This window comes from Homo sapiens, chromosome 17 (genome assembly GCF_000001405.40).
Source record: "Homo sapiens chromosome 17, GRCh38.p14 Primary Assembly".
Lineage (NCBI taxonomy): Eukaryota > Metazoa > Chordata > Mammalia > Primates > Hominidae > Homo > Homo sapiens.
Window position 1 is genome coordinate 28,796,984 of NC_000017.11, and position 22,259 is coordinate 28,819,242.

Sequence of the window (22,259 nt, forward strand, 5' to 3'; positions counted from 1 at the left end):
GTGGCTATTGCTTTTTTTTTTTTTTTTTTTTTTTTTGAGACAAGGATCTCGCTCTGTCACCCAGGCTAGAGTACAATGGTGCGATCTCAGCTCACTGCAACCTTCCCCTCCTGGGCTTCAGTGATTCTCTTGCCTCAGCCTCCCGAGTAGCTGGGATTACAGACGTAAGTCACCACACCCAGCTAATTTTTGTATTTTTAGTAGAGATGGGGTTTTGTTGTTGGCTGGTCTTGAACTCCTGGCCTCAACTGATCTGCCCACCTCAGCTTCCTAAAGTGCTGGGATTACAGACATGAGCCACAGCGGCTGGCTGGCTATTGCGATTTTGAGGTGAGATGATGAAGATCTCAAATGAGCATGTCATAAAAGGGCTATCATATAAAGGAGGAAGCAGATCTGTCTCTGAGCTCCAGAGATAAAAAATAAGTTAATAAAGTTTTTGAAGAAGGGCAATTTTAAGTGAACATAAAGAACAATTTGATCTTGTTCAACAGCAATAGAGAAATACTGAAGCAAAAGCAATTATCATTCATCAGGAATTATGGAAAAGGGTTTTTTTCAGTAGCTAAGAATTTGGACTAGACCACTAGAATCAACTTTTAGAGTCTATGATTCCAAATCATTTTAAAAAGGTGGTTTTTGTAAGGTCATTAACAATATCTTACATTTGTAGGGAGTTTTACAATTTTCAAAGTGCTTTTTCACATGATTCTCTCTCCATCTTCTCAAGATGCCCTTTGAGATAGGTTGGGTATGTATCATCAGCCCCATTTTCACATATAAAGATACTAGAAACTGGACAGCCATCACGGATCATGCCTGTAATCCCAGAAATTTAGGAGGCTGAGGCAGGAGGACTGCTTGAGCCCAAGAGCAAGACCAGTCTGGACAACATAGGGAGACCCCATCTCTACAAAAAAAAAATTAGCCAGGTGTGGTAGTGTGCACCTTTGGTCCCAGCTCCACAGGAGGCTGAGATGGGAGGATCACTTGAGCCCCAGGGGTGGAGGCTGCAAGGAGCCATGATCGTGCCATTACACTCCAGCCTGGGTGACAGTGAGACCCGGTCCCCCAGCCACACAAAAAGAGTAATAAACGCTACGAAAAAAATATGAAAAATAAATAGGTCAGGCGCGGTGGTTCACACTGGTAATCTCAACACTCTGGGAGGCTGAGGTGAGCAGACTGCAGGAGTCCAAGAGTTTGAGACCAGCCTGGCAAGAGCAAAACCTACTAAAAATACAAACAATTAGCCGGGTGTGATGGCGTGCACCTACAATCTCACCTACTTGGAAGGCTAAGGTCAGAGAATCACCTGAGCCCAGGAGGTTGAGGCTGCAGTGAGCCAAGATCATGCCACTGCACTCCAGCCCGGGCAAACAGAGTAAGACCCTGTCTCAAAAATAATAATAACAAATTAAATAAATAAAGCAGTGTAAGGAAATAGAAAGTACTGGGTAGGGTAATAATTTTAAACAGCATAGTCAGAGCAATCCTCACTAAGAAACTACAGTTTCTCCATGGTTTACCTGTTAGTTTCAGTGCAAGACAGCAGCACAGCTTTTAATTAGGTAATTTTTTAAAAAGCACTTAACCATAACTAATACAGTTTTTGTTTTCTCATGTGAAGTTTAATACTTAGGCACTTGCACCCCCTTTTTTTTTTTTTGAAACGGAGTCTTGCTCTCTCGCCCAAACTGGAGTGCAGTGGCGCGATCTCGGCTCACTGCAAGCTCCGCCTCCCGGGTTCACATTATTCTCCTGTCTCAGCCTCCTGAGTAGCGCCACTATGCCCGGCTAATTTTTTGTATTTTTAGTAGAGACAGGGTTTCACCGTGTTAGCCAGGATAGTCTCGATCTCCTGACCTCGTGATCCACCCGCCTCGGCCTCCCAAAGTGCTGGGATTACAGGCGTGAGCCACCACACCAGGCCACTTGCACCTTTAATAAAAAGCAATTTATCAACTTGTTTTCAAGAATGGAATCCTGTTGTTTTTTTTTTCTTTTTTTGGGATGGAGTCTCACTCTGTTGACAGGATGGAGTGCAGTGGCACGATCTCGGCTCACTGCAACCTCCGCCTCCCGGGTTCAAGCAATTCTCCTGCCTCAGCCTCCCAAGTAGCTGGGACTACAGGCGCACACCACCATGCCCAGCTAATTGTTGTATTTTTAGTAGAGACGGGGTTTCACCATGTTGACCAGGATAGTGTCGATCTCTTGACCTCATGATCCACCCACCTCGGCCTCCCAAAGTGCTGGGATTACAGGTGTGAGCCACCGCGACTGGCCTCTTGTTTTTGTAACACAGAAAAACTTTTTTTTTTTTTTTTTTGAGACCGAGTCTCGGTCTGTCGCCCAAGCTGGAGTGCAGTGGTGCGATCTCAACTCACTGCAACCTCTGCCTCTCGGGTTCAAGCGATTCTCCTGCCTCAGCTTCCCAAGTAGCTGGGACCACAGGCGCCTGCCACCACGACCGGCTAATTTTTTTTTGTTGTTGTTGTATTTTTAGTAGAGACGGGGTTTCACAGTGTTCGCCAGGATGGTCTCGATCTCCTGACCTCGTGATCCGCCCACCTCGGCCTACCAAAGTGCTGGGATTACAGGCGTGAGCCACCGCGCCCAGCCAAAACTTTCTTTTTTTAAGAGACAGGGCTCACTCTGTCACCCAGGCTTCAGTGCAGTTGCACCACTATAGCTCACTGCAGCCTCAAACTCCTAGGCTCAAGTGATCCTCCTGCCTCAATCTCCTGAGTAAGCTGGGACTACAGGTGATTGCCACCACACTCAGGTAATTATTTTATTTTTTGTAGAAACAAGATCTCGGCTGTTGCCCAGGCTGGTCTTGAACTCCTAGGCTCAGGAGATCCTCCTGCCTTGGCCTCCCAAAGTTCTAGGATTATAGGTGTGAGTCACCACACCTGGCAAGAAAGGCTCTTTAAACAATAAGAAAACAAAGTAATGCAAACTTCCACACATACCAAAGACTGCTGTTGTATGTAACTATGACTTTGATAAAGACTGGCATTTCTCTGGTTGAGCAATGATACTTTCTTTTTTTTTTTTTTGAGACGGAGTTTCACTCTTGTTGCCCATGCTGGAGTGCCATGGCACGATCTCGGCTCACAGCAACCTCCGCCTCCCGCGTTCAAGCGATTCTCCTGCCTCAGCTTCCCGAGTAGCTAGGATTACAGGCATGAGCCACCACACCTGGCTAATTTTGTATTTTTCACAGACGGGGTTTCTCCATGTTGGTCAGGCTGGTCTCGAACTCCCGACCTCAGGTGATCTGCATGCCTTGGCCTCCCAAAGTGCTGGGATGACAGGCGTGAGCCACCGCACCCGGCCTATGAGACTTTCTTAACTAGTTGTGAGGAACTGAAAGATGAGCAGATGTGGACAGATGTGAGGTGGAGGGAGTTGGTATAAACAATTTTAGAGAGCTATTAAAATTGATGTGCAGGCTGAAGTGGCATAAGCTTCTTACTTCTAGGCGCACTAAGGAACAATTTCTCCCAAAATATACTATCACTGATAAGAATGACACATTTCAGTTGGGACACTGGTTCAGCTTGGAGAAGAGGCAAAAATAAAAATATATCTGGCTGAAAAAGCTGCCTTTTCCAACTTAATTTTGCCAGGGACTATGGAAATAGTCAAAGGACTTTTCTTAAAATGAAAGGTTCTTTTTGTCTCTCTGGAGAAAAGTTCTAACACAGTATCACTCTCCAATTGCACCATACCTCACTAAATATAGGCCAAATATTAAAATATTTTGTAAAGCACTTTAGTGAATGCACAGTAACACCTGGCAAGACAAGTTAAAACTAAGATGTGGATTCTTAATTAAGCTACTAGTTCCACATTTTGTTGAAAAAAAAAAAAAAAAAAAAAGTTGGCCAGGCGCGGTGGCTCACACCTGTAATCCTAGCACTTTGGGAGGCCGAGGCGGGTGGATCACAAGGTCAGGGGTTCGAGACCAGCCTGACCAACATGGTGAAACCCCATCTCTACTAAAAATACAAAAATTAGCTGGGCGTGGTGGCAGGCGCCTGTAACCCAGCTACTCAGGAGGCTGAGGCAGGAGAATTGCTTGAACCTGGGAGGTGGAGGTTAAAGTGAGCCGAGATCGTGCCACTGCACTCCAGCTTGGACGACAGAGCGAGACTCCGTCTCAAAGAAAAAAAAAAAGACCAGGCGCAGTGGCTCACGCCTGTAATCCCAGCACTTTGGGAGGCCAAGGCGGGCGGATCACGAGGTCAGGAGATCGAGACCATCCTGGCTAACACAGTGAAACCCCGTCTCTACTAAAAATACAAAAAATTAGCCGGGCGATGTGGCGGGCGCCTGTAGTCCCAGCTACTCAGGAGGCTGAGGCAGGAGAATGGTGTGAACCCCGGGGGGCGGAGGCTGCAGTGAGCCAAGATCATGCCACTGCACTCCAGTCTGGGCGACAGCGAGACTCCGTCTCAAAAAAAAAAAAAAAAAAAGAAAAGAAAAAGTTCTGGGAGAGTAAGATAAGCAAAAGCCAAACCAGTATCTTTACAGCTGCTAAATTAATGTCTTCATAATAGTAAAACAGGCTGGGCATGGTGGCTCACGCCTGTAATCCCAGCACTTTACTATTATTATTATTATTATTGTTGTTCTTCTTCTTCTAGTAAAACCATTCCCAGCTGAATAGCTGGGTAAGGCAGAGGGTCCATACAGGAACCCAGTAAATGGGACTTTTCCCTCCTAATTTAGGATGAGCTGTCTTCAACTTCTCACAGACTTGATATATCTTTCCTTTTAAAGTAGATTAAGTCCTATCCTTTACATAATAAGAATGAAGATAAATAAAATGCCAATGGTAGAAGTGCTTAGCTTTTGGAAGGAAGTAAATCTTAAGTTATGACTAATAATGCTTATGCTTCTCCTTTGAAGCAACACGAATGTTGTCTAAATCATCCCAATTCTGCAAGTGGCATAAAATCTGATTTTCATTCAGTTCAGCAACTGATCCTCAAAAACACTTTGCTGAATGCAAAAAAAAAAAAAGAAAAAAAGAAAAAGAAAAAAAGTGATTGTTCAGGTAATATCTTCCCAGCAAACAGCACTTAAAGAAACCCCCAGCTTTTTTTTCTGAGAAAGAGTCTTACTCTGTGGCCCAGGTGCAATGGTGTGATCGGCAATGGTGCGATCTCGGCTTACTGCAACCTCTGCCTCCCAGGTTCAAGCAATTCTCCTGCTTCAGCCTCCCGAGTAGCTGGGATTACAAGTGTCTGCCACCACACCCCACTAATTTTTGTATTTTTAGTAGAGATAAGGTTTCACCATGTTGGCCAGGCTGGTCTCAAACTCCTGACCTCAAGTGATCCACCCACCTCGGCCTCCCAAAGTGCTGGGATTATAGACATGAGCCACTGCGCCCAGCCAGAAACCCCCAGCTTTAAAGTGATGACTGCTTTCCAATTTGGGCCTAGCAGAATGGCTCCCGCAAAGGGTGGTAAGAAGAAAGGCTGTTCTGCCATCAACCAGGTGGTAACCCAAGAATACACTATTGAGATTCACAAGTGCATTCATGGAGTGAGCCTCTAAGAAGCAAGCCCCTCAGGCACTCAAAGAGATCTGGAAATTTGCCATGAGGGAGATGAGGACCCCAGATGCACACATTGATAGCAGGCTCAACAAAGCTGTCTGGGCCAAAGGAATAAGGAATGTCTCACACAGTGTATCCCTGCGTGGTTGTCCAGAAAATGTAATGAAGATAAAAATTCACTAAAACAAGCTCTATACTTTGGTTACTTATGTACCTGTTACCACTTTCAAAATCTACAGACACTCCATGTGGATAAGAACTAACCACTGGTCATCAAATAAAATTATACAACTGCAAAAACAACAACAAAGTGATGACAGTACTACTTTCATCACACACTGACTATTCTAAATGGATTTCATTTCAGCCAACAGCTCTGATTATTAGCAAGTATTGCCCAGTGTTAGAAAACTTTGCTTTGGTTAAGAAGAGAGGTTTGTTTCTTTGCTTTTTCTTTTTTTTTTTGAGAGGGAGTCCCACTCTGTTGCCTAGGCTGGAGTACAGTGGTGCAATCTCGGCTCACTGCAACCTCCACCTCCCAAGTTCAAGCAATTCTCCTGCCTTAGCCTCCTGAGTAACTGGGATTACAGGTGCATGCCACCATGCCTGGCTAATTTTTGAATTTTAGTAGAGACAGTGTTTCACCAGGTTGGCCAGGCTGGTCTCGAATGCCTGACTTCAAGTGATCTGCCCACCTTGGCCTCCCAAAGTGTGGAGATTACAGGCATGAGCCACCGTACCCAGGTTCTTCTTTTTTCTTTTTAGAGACACGGTCCTGCTCTCTCACCCTGCTCTCTCACTACTTGGGATAGCAGCTCACTGCAACCTCGAACTCCTGGGCTCAAGGGATCTTTCCATCTCAGCCTCCCAAGTAGCTGGGAGTACAGGCACACATCACCACACCCACCTAATTTTTTTATAGAGAGGGTCTCACCATCTTGCTTGGGCGGGTCTCAAACTCCTGGGCTCAAGCAATCCTCCTGCCTCAGTCTCCCAAAGTGTTGGGATTACAGGCATAAGCCACTGTGTCTGGCTGCAGTTTGTTTCTTTGGCTTAGCTACCAACAGCTCACCCACATATGATGAATTATTTACATATACTATGGGGTCAGAAGACACCAACAATGAAGACATTTCAGCCAGGTGCGGTGGCTCACGCCTGTAATCCCAGCACTTTGGGAGGCCGAGACGGGTGGATCAAGAGGTCAGGAGTTCAAGACCAGCCTGGCCAAGATGGTGAAACCCCATCTCTACTAAAAAAATACAAAAAAATTAGCTGGGTGTGGTGGCAGGTGCCTGTAATCCCAACTACTTGGGAGGCTGAGGCAGAGAACTTTTTGAACCTGGGAGGCAGAGGATGCAGTAAGCCGAGATCATGCCACTGCGCTCCAGCCTGGGTGACAGAGCAAGACCACGTCTCAAAAAAAAAACCAAAAAGCAAAAAACAAACAAAAATGACATTTCAGTATCAAAAGCTAGTTTACGTATGACTTACTTGAAAGATTTTAATTCTCCATAGCACCTCAGTGTGATTAAGTAACAAAGGTCAGGTCTCTTCGGGAACCAGGACATCTATCTTCTCCTCCCCTTGGCAATCAGAGCTCCTAGTTCTTAGGCCTTTGGTCTCAGACTGAATGACACCACCAGCTTTCCTGGTTCTCGGGCTTGCAGACAGCATATTGTGGAACTTCTCAGCCTCCATAACTAAATGAGCCAAGTCCTAATCCCCTCTTATATATTTACCCTACTGGTTGTTTCTCTGGAGAATGCTAATACAGATTTTTTTTTTTTTTCAGGCACAGTCTCGCCCTGTCGCCAGCCTAGAGCGCAGTGGCGCGATCTCGGCTCACCGCAACCTCCACCTCTCGGGTTCAAGCGATTCTCCTGCCTCAGCCTCCCGAGTAGCTGGGACTACAGGCACGCGCCACCACGCCCAGCTAACTTTTGTATTTTTTAGTAGAGAAGGGGTTTCACTATGTTGGCCAGGATGGCCTTGATCTCTTGACCTTGTGATCCACACACCTCGGCCTCCCAAAGTGCTGGGATTACAGGCATGAGCCACCATGCCTGGCCTCTAATATAGATTTTATATTTAGTATTAAATAAAACAAACTGTCCCAAGGATACTACATTGAGCTGAATTTTTCTAGGTCCAGTACTGAGTTATATACTACTTTTGATGATTAAGAAACTAAGTGCAGGCCGGGTGCGGTGGCTCACGCCTATAATCCCAGCACTCTGGGAGGCCAAGGTGGGCAGATCACAAGGTCAGGATATCGAGACCATCCTGGCTAACACAGTGAAACCCCATCTCTACTGAAAATACAGAAACAAAATTAGCCAGGCGTGGTGGCAGGCACCTATAGTCCCAGCTACTCGGGAGGCTGAGGCGGGGGAATGGCGTGAACCCCATTGGCAGAGCTTGCAGTGAGCCGAGATCACGCCACTGCACTCTGGTCTGGGCGACAGAGCGAGACTCCATCTCAGGAAAAAAAAAAAGAAAGAAACTAAGTGTAGTCTGGACATGATAGCTCATGGTTCTAATCCCAGCACTTGGGAGGCCAAGGTGGGAGGATCATTGGAGCCCAGGAGTTTGGGACCAACCTGGACAACATAGGGAGACCCCGTCTCTATAAAAAATGAAAAAAGTAGCCAGGCATGATGATGCGAACCTGTGGTCCTACCTACTCAAGAGGCTGAGATGGGCCGGGCATGGTGGCTCACACCACTTTGGGAGGCCATGGCAGGCAGATCACTTGAGGCCAGAAGTTCGAGACCAACCTGGCCAACATGGTGAAACCCCGTCTCTACTGAAAATTCAAAAATTAGCCTGGTGTGGTGGTACATGCCTGTAATCCCAGCTATTCAGGAGGCTGAGGCACAAGAATCACTTGAACCCAGGAGGTGGAGGTTACAGTGAGCCGAGATCATGCCACTGAACTCCAGCCTGGGTGACAGAGCAAGCCTCCCATCTCAAAAAAAATAAAAGAGGCTGAGATGGGAAGACTGCCTGAGCCCAAGGGGTGGAGACTGCAGTGAGCCGTGATCACACTATATTCGAACCTGGATGACACAGTGAGAACCTGTCTCAAAAAAAAAAAGAAAGAAAGAGAAACACAAAAAAGTGGGATCTCTGTCTCAAAACAAAACTAAGTGTAATACAGGTTCTTGGCTATCTTGCCTACTGCTTAGTTGAATGACCAAAGAAAAAAACAAATTTTTCAGTAGTCTGTATGCCTAGAAAACCTCAGTTAAAAACCAGAGGAAGTTAAAGCTGTTGCCTAAAAATGTGCCCTTGAGGCAGGGCACGGTGGGTCACGCCTGTAATCCCAGCACTTTGGGAGGTGGAGGTGGGCGTATCACCTGAGGTCGGGAGTTCGAGACCAGCCTGACCAACATGGAGAAACCCCATCTCTACTAAAAATACAAAATTAGCTGGGCACATGGTGCATGTGGTGGCACATTCCTATAATCCCAGCTACTTGGGAGGCTGAGACAGGAGAATCGCTTGAACCTGGGAGGTGGACATTGCAGTGAGCCGAGATCGCGCCATTGCACTCCAACCTAGGCAACAAGAGTGAAACTCCAACTAAAAAAAAAAAAAGTGTCCTTGAGAATATCTTTGGATTGATTTCACCTGTCTATACTTTGCCTGCTTGCCCTTTTGTGTGTATAATCAATAACAGACTTTTCAAAGATCAGGAATGAACTTTTGTTTTTTCCACTTTTTGGTCTCTGTGAATCTAAGGAATGAACTCTTAACTAGAGTCTTGTCCATATCTTGGTAAAGATGCCCTCTGCCCTTTTCAGTTAGGCCGCAATGTAACAAACTCAGTCCATGACTGAATTTAATCTAACCAGCCCAGTATTTCCTTCCTGGGATCCACCAGCACCAAATATAATAAAACTTCAATTTGGAAGTCGGGCACCACGGTGCACACCTGTAGTCCCTTCGGTGGCTGGGTCAGGAGTACTGCTTGAGTCCGGGAGTTCAAGGCCAGCCTGGGCAATATAATTGGGACGGCACCCTGTCTCAAAACAAAACAAAATAAAATCACCTTCAAGTTGGTCTTTTCTTAACAACTTTATTTTTTCTTTCTCCAATACCTCATCTTGAGCATTCTTCTTTTGATTAATAATAGCATACTGGTGTTTGGATCCCCTTCACAACCAGAAAGATAAAAAAAGCCTCTCAGGGTAGATATAGGAAAACTTCAAATCATTTCAAATAGGGTTCCTGAAATTTCTTGGAGAAAATAATAAGCTATATTAGAAATTCAGAGAAAGGAAGAATTCAGAGACCTTGGCTCTCGGTCTGGCTTCACTACCAAATCACTTAAGTTATTTAGATAATCACAGGCCATTAGTTTTCCCTACTTCAGAGAAATGCTGAGACCGATGTTCATTTAATTCACTGGATAAAAACTATCCAAAAGTAAGACTATTTATCTTTTTTTATCTTTTTTTTTTTTTAGATGGAATTTCGTTCCTGTTGCCCAGGCTGGAGTGCAATGGCACAATCTCGGCTCACTGCAACCTCTACCTCCTGGGTTCAAGCGATTCTCCTGCCTGGGCTTCCCAAGTAGCTGGGATTATAGGCACGCACCACCACACCCAGCTAATTTTTGTATTTTTAATAGAGATGGGGTTTCTCCATGTTGGTCAAGCTGGTCTTGAACTCCCGAACTCAGGTGATCCGCCTGCCTCAGCTTCCCAAAGTCCTGGGATTACAGGCGTGAGCCACCGCGCCTGGCAAATATTTATCTTAATACTGGAAATGATTCTTGGGCTGAAGAAACGCTTGTTTTTGTGTGTGTGTTTTTTTGTTTGTTTGTTTTGCTTTTATGTGGAGTCTCACTCTGTCACCCAGGCTGGAGTGCAGTCCAACGATCTCAGCTCACTGCAACCCCCACTTCCTGGGTTCAAGCAATTCTCCTGCCTCAGCCTCCTGAGTAGCTGGAATTACAGGCCTGTGCCACCATGCCCAGCTAATTTTCATATTTTTAGTAGAGATGAGGTTTCACCATGTTGGTCAGGCTGGTCTTGAACTCCTGGCCTCAAGTGATCCGTCCGCCTCAGCCTCCTGAAGTGTTGGGATTACAAGCATGAGTCACCACATCTGGCCCAAACTCTTGTCTTAACCTTTTGTGAGACGTTTTATGTATTTACAGATCATGAAATCTCTAATGAAGTAAACTTCTAAGATCTGACTAAACAAAAGGACCATCAAGTGTTCACAGAATGCTAACATATAGAACAAAGTTTAAAGAAGATACAAAGGCCTGGACTCTAAAAAATAAATGAACAATTCAAATGTCTGGTTTAAAACAAACAAAAAGATGGATTAAAAGTTTGTATCGGAAAGGTAACTTTGTTTTGAATGGTTTTGACAATCTCATACCTCCTGCAGTATCAAATACAGTCTGGGTAATTAATTCAGTGGACTCTTTCCCTTTTACTGCCAGACTGAACAGCTCTGAGGATAATCTCCCTCACTCTCCCAGGGCTCAGTTGGAAGATTCATTATTTATGCCCTCAATTGTTTACTCTGTCCTATTTTTCCACACGTCCAGCAGGCCCAAGAGCTGTGTTACCACTGGCCTGTTTCCAAAATGAATGCATTACTCATTGCCCTATTAGTTACAAAACCAAAATAATCAAACACAGTGGTGTCTTAACGTTGGAAAGCAACCCCACCAACCATTTGATCTAGGAGAGAAATTAATAACAATGCCAGCCCAGGTTACCAAAAGCTAAATTGTCCTGGATGAAGAGAGAACCATACATCATTCCAGTCCTTTATTTTGAGCCACTGAACAACACACATGCATATCCAACAAGGATTCTTAAAGGACAGTATCATTAGAAAGACAGCTCTGGCCTTCACTGAGAACAGACTGTAAACTACTAAGGGTTAAACTGATTGAGAGAAAATTTGCCTAAGCAACCATTCTTTAGGAAGAGTTCAGTAACTCACCAACAATAAATTCTACATCCTCATCTGAGTGGTAAACAGATTACAGACTCCATCAAGTCCTCTACTTTCAGGATTCAGACTCATAGCAAACAACTTCCTCAAAAGATTCAGCTTCCAAGAGTCAAACCCTGGGGGAGGGGATTGTGCTTAAACACACAAAATATTGTCTCTGACACCTGACTGAAAAAGCTGAAAAGCTAAAAACTACCATCACCCACATCTCCATATGAATGCATCCATTGTTCTAAATAAGTCTCTGACAATTGACAGAGCATTCTCAGAGTCTCCTGTGCCTCTAATATTTTCTCACCTAGAGTAAGCTTTTCCCAATTCCAAACCTTACAACACTCAAGCTGATTATTCTGAGAATCAAGCAATGCCAAGGGCCCAATATTTTTCTTTCACCTTCTCAAGGGGATCATTTTATACTTCTGATGTGAACAGGGGATTAGTCTCGAGTCTCCCTTTAGAGAGAACATAGAGTCCTTTTTCTTAACACATTCCAAGCCGTGACTCACAGAAATAAGCAGGATGGGCCGGGCACGGTGGCTCATGCCTGTAATCCCAGCACTGTGGAAGGCCGAGGCAGGTGGACCATCTGAGGTCAGTTTGAGACCACCCTGGCCAACATGGTGAAACCCTGTCTCTACTGAAAATACAAAAATTAGCCAGGCGTGCTGGTGCGTGTCTGTAGTCCCAGCTACTCAGGAGGCTGAGGCAGGAGAACTGCTTGAACCTGGGAAGCAGAGGCTGCAGTGAGCAGAGAGATTGTGCCACTGCATTCCAGCCTGGGTGACAGAGCGAGACTCCGTCTCAAAAAAAAAAAAAAAAAGAGAGAGAGAGAGAAATGAAATAAGCAGGTTGGATAAAAACAGACTGCTAAAGAAAATTAAATCAACTGCTTTAACCTCAACCAGCACTATGCCCCCTCAACCTAAGAGATTATGGCTTTCTATAATTGTTTCCTTGCAGATGACCAAATTCCAGGATTTCCATGCCCCTTAAATGATATTTGAACATCAGTGCAAATACATTTATGATTAGTTCTATACATAGTCTTCTGTCTCCTGGGAAAATTCTTTCACGAACCCCTAATTATTGCACCATGCAAAACAGTGATCACACAAATCAGTCAAAAAAATAGAAATATCGGGCGTGGAGGGGTGCAGTGGCTCACACCTTAATCCCAACACTTTGGGAGGCCTCTGGGAGGGCTGCTTGAGGCCAGGAGTTTGAGACCAACCTGGGCAACAGAGCCAGACCCTATTCTCTACAAAACATAAAAATTAAAAAATAGTAATATAAAAAAGTGAGTGAAGTATAACTTTATAAAGCTGTACTTACTGCTCACCCATGGGTAGAGAACATAAAAACCACCCAGATATCAAATAGAAGGGCAAACTTGTTTTTTGACAGAAGCAAGTTGAAATTGTACAGCCTCCAACTGGTTTTTTTTTGTTTTTGTTTTTGTTTTTTTGAGACAGGGTCTCACTGTGTCACCCAGGTTGGAGTGCAGTGGTACAACCTTGGCTCACTGCAACCTCTGCCTCCCGGGTTCCAGCAATTCTCCCACCTCAGCCTCCCAAGCAGCTGGGACTACAGGAGTGCACCACCACGCCCAGCTAATTTTTTTATGTTTTGGTAGAGACGGGGTTTTCACCATGTTGGTCTTTAACTTCTGACTTCAAGTGATCCACCCACCTCAGCCTCCCAAAGTGCTGGGATTACAGGAGCAAGCCATTGCACCCCGCCTTCCAACTGGTTTTTTTGGTCACTTCCCCAGCTTCCTATACCTTAGATATCAAAGTGCACTTTGTTTTATATACTAGCTAACTCTGTTTTATATACTAGCTAACTTTGTTTTATATACTAGCTAACTTTGTTTTACATACTAGCTAACTCTGTTTTATATACTAGCTAACTTTGTTTTATATACTAGCTAACTTTGTTTTATATACTAGCTAACTTTGTTTTATATACTAGCTAACTCTGTTTTATATACTAGCTAACTGTAAAGGCTTCAATCAGTGATTTTTAACAGTTCACTCTCAGTAGCAAGTTAACTAGTCAACATCTGGGGGATCCCCTTTCCCTCCCAATTTAAATACAACTCATGGAGCCTTAAGGGACAAGTGAGTAATAAAAACCCAAAACCTGACACAGGATTACTGTGAATCTACTTTTTAGTAACATGTCTATTCTAAGGTATTTGAAATCTTCTTTTTAAAAAAGGTAAAGTAAGCTTCGTAATCCCTATTACTTTCCACAGCTGAAATGGTTTCCTATCCCATTATCCCTATTTTTTATAATACTTGCTTTCATCCCAAATTGCTCCTAATTGTCTAGAGATCTAATAAATCAATGCAAAGAAAAAAATCACTAATCTAGCCAAAAGTGTAAGACAGCTCCAGTGTATCAATTCTGTCTTCAAAAGTGGACCCCAGTTACAACAATCGTGGGAAACTGAACCTGTATTACATAAACTCTGAACCATTTTAATTAATATTTATCAAAGTGTTGCCAAAAAAAAAAATATTCATCCCTTTTGGTACTGTAGCTCTTTGCTAATCAACATTAAGATAAACCTGCTCCAAACACGTTTCGTTGAAAATGCCCATTTAGGCCAGGCGCGGTGGCTCACGCCTGTAATCCCAGCACTTTGGGAGGCCGAGGCGGGTGGATCACGAGGTCAGGATATCAAGACCATCCTGGCTAACACGGTGAAACCCGGTCACTACTAAAAATACAAAAAATTAGCCAGGTGTGGTGGCAGGCGCCTGTAATCCCAGCTACTCAGGAGGCTAAGACAGGGGAATCGCTTGAACCCTGGAGGCAGAGGTTGCAGTGAGCCGAGATCGCGCCACTGCACTCCAGCCTGGGCAACAGAGCGAGACTCGTCTCAAAAAACAAAAACAAAAACAAAAAAACCCCCACGAACTAAAATACATCTGGAGGTTTGTTTTTTTAAGTTTGGTTTTGGTTTTTGACGATAGAAACTACTCCCTCCGAGGGTCTGTGAATATAAGAAATATACCAACAGAGAAAAAGATAAGACTTTTAAGTTTCAGCAACAGCAAGGTAAGTTTGCCTGCTCTAGTCAGGTTTCTCCAACAGAGATGAGCTACTACACAAAGCCGGTGACAATGTACTCCAGGAAGAGACTTTAGCAGAGTTAATCACTAACAACTATCAGGATTTCCTTTAACCACCATTTGACTGGGGCTGCTCCCTCTTTCCACTAGCACCTCCTCTCCTTTCAGATTGTTATTGCTGATCAAGGCAGTCCCAAGGAGGAAAATGGTGAAGACAACCTTAATGGACACGCATGGAGTACAGTTCCAAATATCCACTCCTAGCTTGCCTTTTCTTTTTTTTAAATTACGGTTTACTGCATCAGATACCACACAAAAAAGGGCTCCTCTTTTCTTCTCTGTGCATTTTACTATGCGACCGATATCGACACATCAGTAAAAAGAGATAAGAGTCCTGAATCTCCTTACCCATCTGCAGGGGTGAGATGAAGGGAAGGAAAAAAAATGATGAAGGGTAGAAACAGATAATCAAAATAAACTGATGCGATCCAGAGACATTATTTCCCGTTCCATTTCCCCTTTTCTTACAAGGTTAAGTCGGCTGAAGTCGGGGTCGCGTTAGAAAAAGCACACACACACCTTGCGCCCTGGAAAGGTGAGGTTCGCTCCGCAGCGCTCCGTGGGGCTCCTGGCTCCGCCCCGCCCGCCTTGGGCAGCTGAGCCCAGCTCACCCCCGCCCCGGGAGGATGGAAGAGAGGGGGCTTCTAGCGGTCTAGGCAGGGGGAGGGGGAGGCGGCTGCTCCGGGTGCCAGGCTCACGGAGCGCAGGACTCCGCGGTGCGCCGACACCCCCTCCCCCAGCCGGCTGCCGCTTGCTCCCAGCCGCCGCCGGAAGCCAGCCCCGCCCCCTCACCTCCACCCTGGCTCTTCGCGAGCCCTCTCCTGTCTGCACAGCCAATGGCGAGCCAGGGAGCCAGCAGAGCGACTCGCCAAACAGCCAACTGGGGAGGCCCACAGGGAGGTCAGCCACCGGGATAGGCCCGCTACCCGCGGACCCGGCCCGACTCGGCTCCTCTTTGTTAGCGCTGCCCCCATCTCTCCCGGCCCCTACCCCAAAGCCAGGAGCCAAGCATCCCGTAGCTGGGCCAGGTGAAGCTGCGCCCCTTTGCACCCCTTCTCCCTCTGTCCCCTTGTCCCCTCCCACTTTCTGCCTGGGTACTAGGAGACCCCCCCCCACCCACGCGATACCTCCCAGAGTGCCTCAGACTTCAACAGCAATTGCCACCTGGAGACACTCGACAGTAAAAAGATGCTCCCCAAGCCTCTCTGCCTCTAGTCTAATCAACTGCACTGCACTGTAACAGTGGACGGATTTAGGATTGCATATTAAATCAACTGCACACATCAATCCTCCCTGTCGGAAACTCGTGCTTCCCGTGACGCAGAAATTAAGCGGGGGGGGGGGGGGGGGGGAGGGGGGGGCGTTGGAGGCATGTTGGGAAAGTATGTATCTAGAAGTTGGTGGGGTGGAGAAGGGAATACATGAAATCATCAGACACAAAAAAAAAAAAAACACACACATACAAAAAAAAAAAACACACATAGTTGGCTCCAACCTGTTTCAGATACAAAACATCCAATGTATTTAGCTGGATGTATCCAATCCAGTTAAATCCCAAGATAACAATTCCTTTAGCAGGTTTCAGTACAATTAGGAAGCAAACACCTAATCCTTGTTCAGTCATATACCTAATATTATGGGGAACATACTCTCAGCAACCAGACTGGAGGAGACTAAGACAACATGAAAAATAAATGCAATGTGTGATTCTGACCTGGATCCTTTTTGCTATAAAGTATATAACTGGTATAATAATAAGCAACAGTTGAAGAGGATCTGATAATTATATGGAAGTAATGTGTCAATGTTACTTTCCTGATTTTGACAGTTGTTTCTTTTTTTTTTGTTTTTTTTGGAGACGGAGTCTCGCTCTGTTGCCCAGGCTGGAGTGCAGTGGCGAGATCTTGGCTCACTGCAAGCTCCGCCTCCCAGGTTCATGCCATTCTCCTGCCTGAGCCTCCCAAGTAGCTGGAGTAGCTGGGACTACAGGTGGCCGCCATCACGCCCAGCTAATTTTTTTTTTTTTTTTGTATTTTTTAGTAGAGACGGGGTTTCACTGTGTTAGCCAGGACGGTCTCGATCTCCTGACGTCGTGATCCGCCCGCCTCGGCCTTCCAAAGTGCTGGTATTACAGGCGTCAGCCACCGCGCCCGGCATGGAATAGGACATTTTAAACACTGTGGTATATTTTCTGGGGTGTAGTGATAGAGCACTACATGGGGCTCATTTAAGAAAACTGGCCGGGCGCGGTGTGTCTCACCTGTAATCCCAGCACTTTGGGAGGCCAACGTGGGCAGATCACTTGAACCCAGGTGTTCGAGACCAGCCTGGTCAACATGGTGACCTGGTGAGAACCCCACCTCTACCACAAATTTTAGAGGTAGCTAGGCGTGGTAACTCGCACGGTAGTCCCAGCTACTTGGCAGAGTACAGTGAGCAGAGACCGTGCCACTGCACTCCAGCCTGAGTGAGAGTAAGACTCTAACTCCAAAAAAAAAAAAAGAAAAGAAAAAGAAAACGGGGGTCAGGAAAGGCAAGCTATTACCTAGAATGTCATTTTTATTCAGCGTTCTTGCAAGTGCATAACATTAAATATCTACATCACACTCTACAACACTGCTTAATCCCCCCGAACACTACTATAATTTAAAACAAAACAAAACTTTAAAATTAAGCAGTCTAGGCTACCTTGGAACTCAAAACATTTCATATATAACAACCTCAGTACTCCTGGAAGATGGAAAAGGAGCTGTATGACATGCCTGTTTTTATTTTATTTATTTTTGAGACGGAGTTTCGCTCTGTTTCCCAAGCTGGAGTGCAGTGGTGAGATGCTGTGGTGTAATCTTGACTCACTGCAACCTCCGCCTCCTAGGTTCAAGCAGTTCTGCCTCAGCCTCCCAAGTAGCTGAAATTACAGGTGCACACCACCACGCCTGGCTAACTTTTGTATTTTTACTCGAGACGGGGTTTCGCCATGGTGGCCAGGCTAGTCTCGAACTCCTGACCTCAAGTGATCTGCCTGCCTCGGCCTCCCAAAGTGCTGGGATTACAGGCATGAGCCAACGTGCCAGGCCGATCTTTTTTTTTTTTTTTTTTTTGAGATAAGAGTCTCGATCTGTCATCCAGGCTGGAGTGCAACAGCACAATCTTGGCTCACTGCAACCTCTGCCTCCCGGGCTCAAGCGATTCTCCTGCCTCAGCTTCCCGAGTAGCTGGGATTACAGGCACGAGCCACCGTGCCCGGCTAATTTTTGTATTTTTAGTAGAAACGGGGTTTCACCATGTTGCCCAGGCTGATCTCGAACTCCAGACCTCAGGTGATCCACCCCCCTCGCCTCCCAAAGTGCTGGGATTACAGGCATGAGCCACCACGCCCAGCATCACAGCTATTTTTTAAACACATATAAATATACATCTCTTGGTCCAATATAATATCTAGATGTTACACCAATCCGTCAACAGTAGTTATTGAGAGAATAAGAATACAGGTAGGGAGAACTGAAGAAGAGAATTTATTACATCTTTTTTTTTTTTTTTTAAAGACAGAGTCTCGCTCTGTCACCCAGGCTGGAGTGCAGTGGCGCGATCTCGGCGCACTGCAACCTCCACCTCCCAGGTTCATGCCATTCTCCTGCCTCAGCCTCCCAAGTAGCTGAGACTACAGGTGCCTGCCACCAAGCCCAGCTAATTTTTTGTATTCTTTAGTAGAGACGGGGTTTCACCGTGTTAGCCAGGATGATCTCGATCTCTTGACCTCGTAATCCGCCCGACTCGGCTTCCCAAAGTGCTGGGATTACAGGCGTGAGCCACCGTGCCCGGCCTTTATTACATCTTTTAAAAAATAAAAAAGCGGGCCAGGTGCAGTGGCTCATGCCTGTAATCCCAGCACTTCGGGAGGTCAGGGTGGGTGGATCACTTGAGCTCAGGAGTTCAAGACCAGCCTGGGCAACACAGTGAAACCCTGTCTCTACAAAAAATACAAAAATTAGCAGCCAGGTGTGATGACTCACGACTGTAACTCCAGCACTTTGGGTGGCTGAGACAGGCAGATCTCGAGGTCAGGAGATTGAGATCAGCCTGGCCAATATGGTAAAACCCTGTCTCTACTAAAAAAAAGTACAAAAATTAGCCAAGTGTGGTGGCGCGCATCTGTAATCCCAGCTACTCAGCAGGCTGAGGTAGGAGAATCGCTTGAAACCGGGAGGCGCAGGTTGCAGTGAGCTGAGATCGTGCCACTGCACTCCAGCCTGGGCAACAGAGCGAGACTCCGTCTCAAAAAAAAAAAAAAAAAATTAAGGCACGGCATGGTAGCTGACGCCTGTAATCAATCCTAGCACCTTGGGATGCTGAAATAGGGCAGATCACTTGAGGTCAGGGATTCAAAACCAGCCTGGCCAACATGGTGAAACCTCATCGCTACAATTAAAAAAAAAAATTAGCCCAGTATGGTAGTGGGGGCCTGTAATCCCAGCTACTCGGGAGGCTGGGACAGGAAAATTGCTTGAACCCAGGAGGCAGAGATTACAATGAGCCAAGATCATGCCACTGCACTCCAGCCTGGGCGAGTGGGACTCCGTCTCAAAAAATAAATAAGTAAATAAAAAGCATTAATTTTGTCATTTTTACTATGTTAACTTAGTGAAATTACAGATTTTATCATCTTTAAACTATGTTGAACATATCTTTTATAGTCAGTAAAAGATACTAAAACATAAACATCTCTCAAAAATAGATGGAAGAGATCAATAGGCTAGACTAAAAATTAGTTTAGGTAATATCCCTCTAGACTGATCAGTTTGCACCTCATTATTTCTTGAGCACCCTATTTTGCAAATTTCCTAAATGGCATTTATAACAACCAAAAAAAAAATAAATAAAATGTAACTCTGACACTTAATTTACTCCAATCAAAACGACACAGTTCCCAGTAGAACGGAATAAAAAAAACAAAAAAAAACAATGATTGCACCCGAAAAGAAGGCAAACAGTCTTAAAAAGACAATTTCCTCATAAAGAACTGCTACGTCATATTTACAGAATTCAAACACCCATGACACAGAGCATAGAAACTTTGATAAAACCTTTATTGTTCATTAGACTTCAAGAGAACAGTAGGCCTGAGAAAAACACTGTGGTAATTTTTTTTAAGGGAATTCCTGGCACTATCACTTCAAAGTAGCAAGGTGTAACAGTAATTAAAGGGTTTTAACTGGCTGCACTTTCTGTTTCAGACACTACAGGGGAGTATAAAAATCCAAATAAAATCTGGGATTTTGTTTTACTCATTCACTAACATCATCAAATATGTACTGTATTCCTGTATGCCTGAAATTCTATTAGACCCCAGAGACAAAAAGATTAATAAGATGTGGTCTTTGTCTTTAAAGTACTTAGTTTAGTTAGAGAAGACATGACTGTTAAAAAAAAAAATAGTAATAAGCCCGGCGCAGTGGCTCACACCTGTAATCCCAGCACTTTGGGAGGCCGAGCAGATGGATCAACTGAGGTCAGCAGTTCGAGACCAGCCTGGCCAACATTGTGAAACCCCATCTCTACTAAAAAATACAAAAATTAGCCGGGCGTGGTGGCACATGCCTGTAATCCCAGATACTCAGGAGGATGAGATAGGAGAATCGCTTGAACCTGGGAGACAGAGATTGCAGTGAGCCGATATCGCACCACTGAACTCCAGCCTGGGCAACAGAGTGAGACTCTGTCTCAAAAAAAAAAAAATTAATAATCATAATAAGGCCAGGCACAGAGGCTCACGCCTGTAATCCCAACACTTTGGGAGGCCGAGGCTGGACTACCTGAGGTCAGGAGTTCGAGACCAGCCAGGCCAACATGGTGAAACCCTGTCTCTACTAAAAATACAAAAAATTAGCCGGCCATGGTGGTCGCCTATAATCCCAGCTACTCGGGAGGCTGAGGCAGGAGAATCGCTTGAACCCAGGAGGCAGAGGTTGCAGTGAGCTGAGATTGTGCCATTGCACTCCAGCTTGGGCAACAAGAGTGAAATTCCATCTCAAAATAATAATAATAATAGGCAAACTACAACAGAGAATGCAGAGTAGAGAATCAAACCCATGACTTTGGGAGACTATGGATATGGGACAGGACAGAAGGAGAATCATTCCTAGAAGAGAGAGGAAAAACATGTGCCTATATATAATAATTCACACTAGACAAACCAGCCTATCCAAATTGGCTTTTTCTCCTAATAACAACATTTCTGGCCTTAATCTAAATGGAAATAACCTATACCTAGATGGTATCTTTAAACTTCTATCTATGAAAGTAGAAGCATTATCTGGTAAAGAAGATTTGCTAAAATAACTAGTTGGTTAGGCTTCAAAATCTATTGCATGCAGTTTAAAAGGCATGAAGGTGGGGTGTAGGGGGTGGTTTATACTTCTAGCTACTTGGGAGGCTGAGGTGGGAGGATCATTTGAGCCCAGGAGTAAGAGTTCAAGGTTATAGTGAGCTATGATCGTGCCACAGCACTCCAAGCCTCAGTGACAGAGCAAGACCCTGCCTTTAAAAAAATAAAAATAGGCCAGGCGCGGTGGCTCACGCCTGTAATCCCAGCACTTTGGGAGGCCGAGGTGGGCGGATCACGAGGTCAGGAGATCGAGACCATCTGGGCTAACACGGTGAAACCCTGTCTCTGCTAAAAATACAAAAAATTAGCTGGGCGTGGTGGTGGGCACCTGCAGTCCCAGCTACTTGGGAGGCTGAGGCAGGAGAATGGCGTGAACCTGGGAGGCGGAGCTTGCAGTCAGCCGAGATCGCGCCACTGCACTCCAGCCTGTCTCCAGGGCGACAGAGCGAGAGTCCGTCTCAAAAAAAAAAAAGAATAAAAATAAAAAATAAAAATAAAAATAAAAATAACAAGACTCTATAGGAATGACTGATAAACCAGAATTAAAGCTCAAAGTCACGACAAGGGTGCCAAAGGGAAACACTTGTATGGTATATTTTTCCCTAATCTTCAAAATGACTGCTCCATCATTTATGGTTTAGGATGTTTGGGTTGTATGTTCTGGGAGTAGAGAGCTGGAAAGAAGGGGCAAGTTGTTAATTTTTCATACTGATGGGGTAGCACATGGTAGAAAAAGTAAAAAGCCAAAATCCTGAAAAAGTTTCACACACATAGACAAAATGAGACAGCAAACTTGTGAATCGAGCATGATTTGGCATCTTTAAATGCACAGCCAATTCCCTTCTAGTGCCAAAGCCAATGGCTTCTCCTGTAGATAAAATGGCACGGTTCCTGAAAAAGCCCTGGACGCTGTTTCCCCACAATCCTATAATCTGTCAGAAGACAGAAAACAAAAAGAAGGCTGTGCAAGCCAGAAAAAGCAAATTATAACCAACACAGAGCCAACACTTTACTTCAGACAGAAGGAGCTTTTCTATGCATCTTTGGAAAGGAAGAGACAAAAGAAGCTTACCATTGCTCAAATAATCAAGGCAAACAATAAAACAATTTAACCAAACACCATCTGGGATTAGCATTCAATGCAATAGCCTCCCTTCTCACTTCTTAT

At 45.0% G+C, this 22,259-nt stretch overlaps 1 protein-coding gene and 1 pseudogene across 27 annotated transcripts in view, besides 3 other annotated features; one reads left to right on the forward strand and one right to left on the reverse strand.

Moving 5' to 3' along the window:
- The window catches only part of FAM222B (family with sequence similarity 222 member B), a 99,025-nt gene that overhangs the window by 41,004 nt on the left and 35,762 nt on the right, over nt 1–22,259 (reverse strand). For 3 of the 27 annotated variants that reach the window (NM_001288634.2, XM_047436378.1, XM_047436377.1), the window contains exon 1: nt 15,226–15,488. The exons of 19 other annotated variants lie outside the window; for them this stretch is intronic. The gene's annotated coding sequence lies outside the window, so the exon portion shown is untranslated. Of the gene's footprint in view, nt 1–9,518; nt 11,649–15,174; nt 15,489–22,259 lie in introns of those variants that run through there. 5 more of the 27 variants (XM_047436386.1, XM_047436380.1, XM_047436382.1 and 2 more) reach the window with 3 other exon arrangements.
- On the forward strand, nt 5,444–5,810 carry RPL31P58 (ribosomal protein L31 pseudogene 58; annotated as a pseudogene).
- Nucleotides 11,758–12,699: an enhancer, noted in NCBI's record as "NANOG-H3K27ac hESC enhancer chr17:27135759-27136700 (GRCh37/hg19 assembly coordinates)". NCBI's record gives its function as "activates a minimal SCP1, AML or CMV promoter by ChIP-STARR-seq in primed H9 embryonic stem cells {active_cell/tissue: H9 hESC(primed)}" and the evidence as "EXISTENCE:reporter gene assay evidence [ECO:0000049][PMID:30033119]".
- Nucleotides 15,059–15,701: an enhancer, noted in NCBI's record as "H3K27ac hESC enhancer chr17:27139060-27139702 (GRCh37/hg19 assembly coordinates)". NCBI's record gives its function as "activates a minimal SCP1, AML or CMV promoter by ChIP-STARR-seq in primed H9 embryonic stem cells {active_cell/tissue: H9 hESC(primed)}" and the evidence as "EXISTENCE:reporter gene assay evidence [ECO:0000049][PMID:30033119]".
- Nucleotides 15,227–15,516: a silencer, noted in NCBI's record as "silent region_8355". NCBI's record gives its function as "represses an Ori minimal core promoter by ATAC-STARR-seq in GM12878 lymphoblastoid cells {active_cell/tissue: GM12878}" and the evidence as "EXISTENCE:reporter gene assay evidence [ECO:0000049][PMID:35858748]".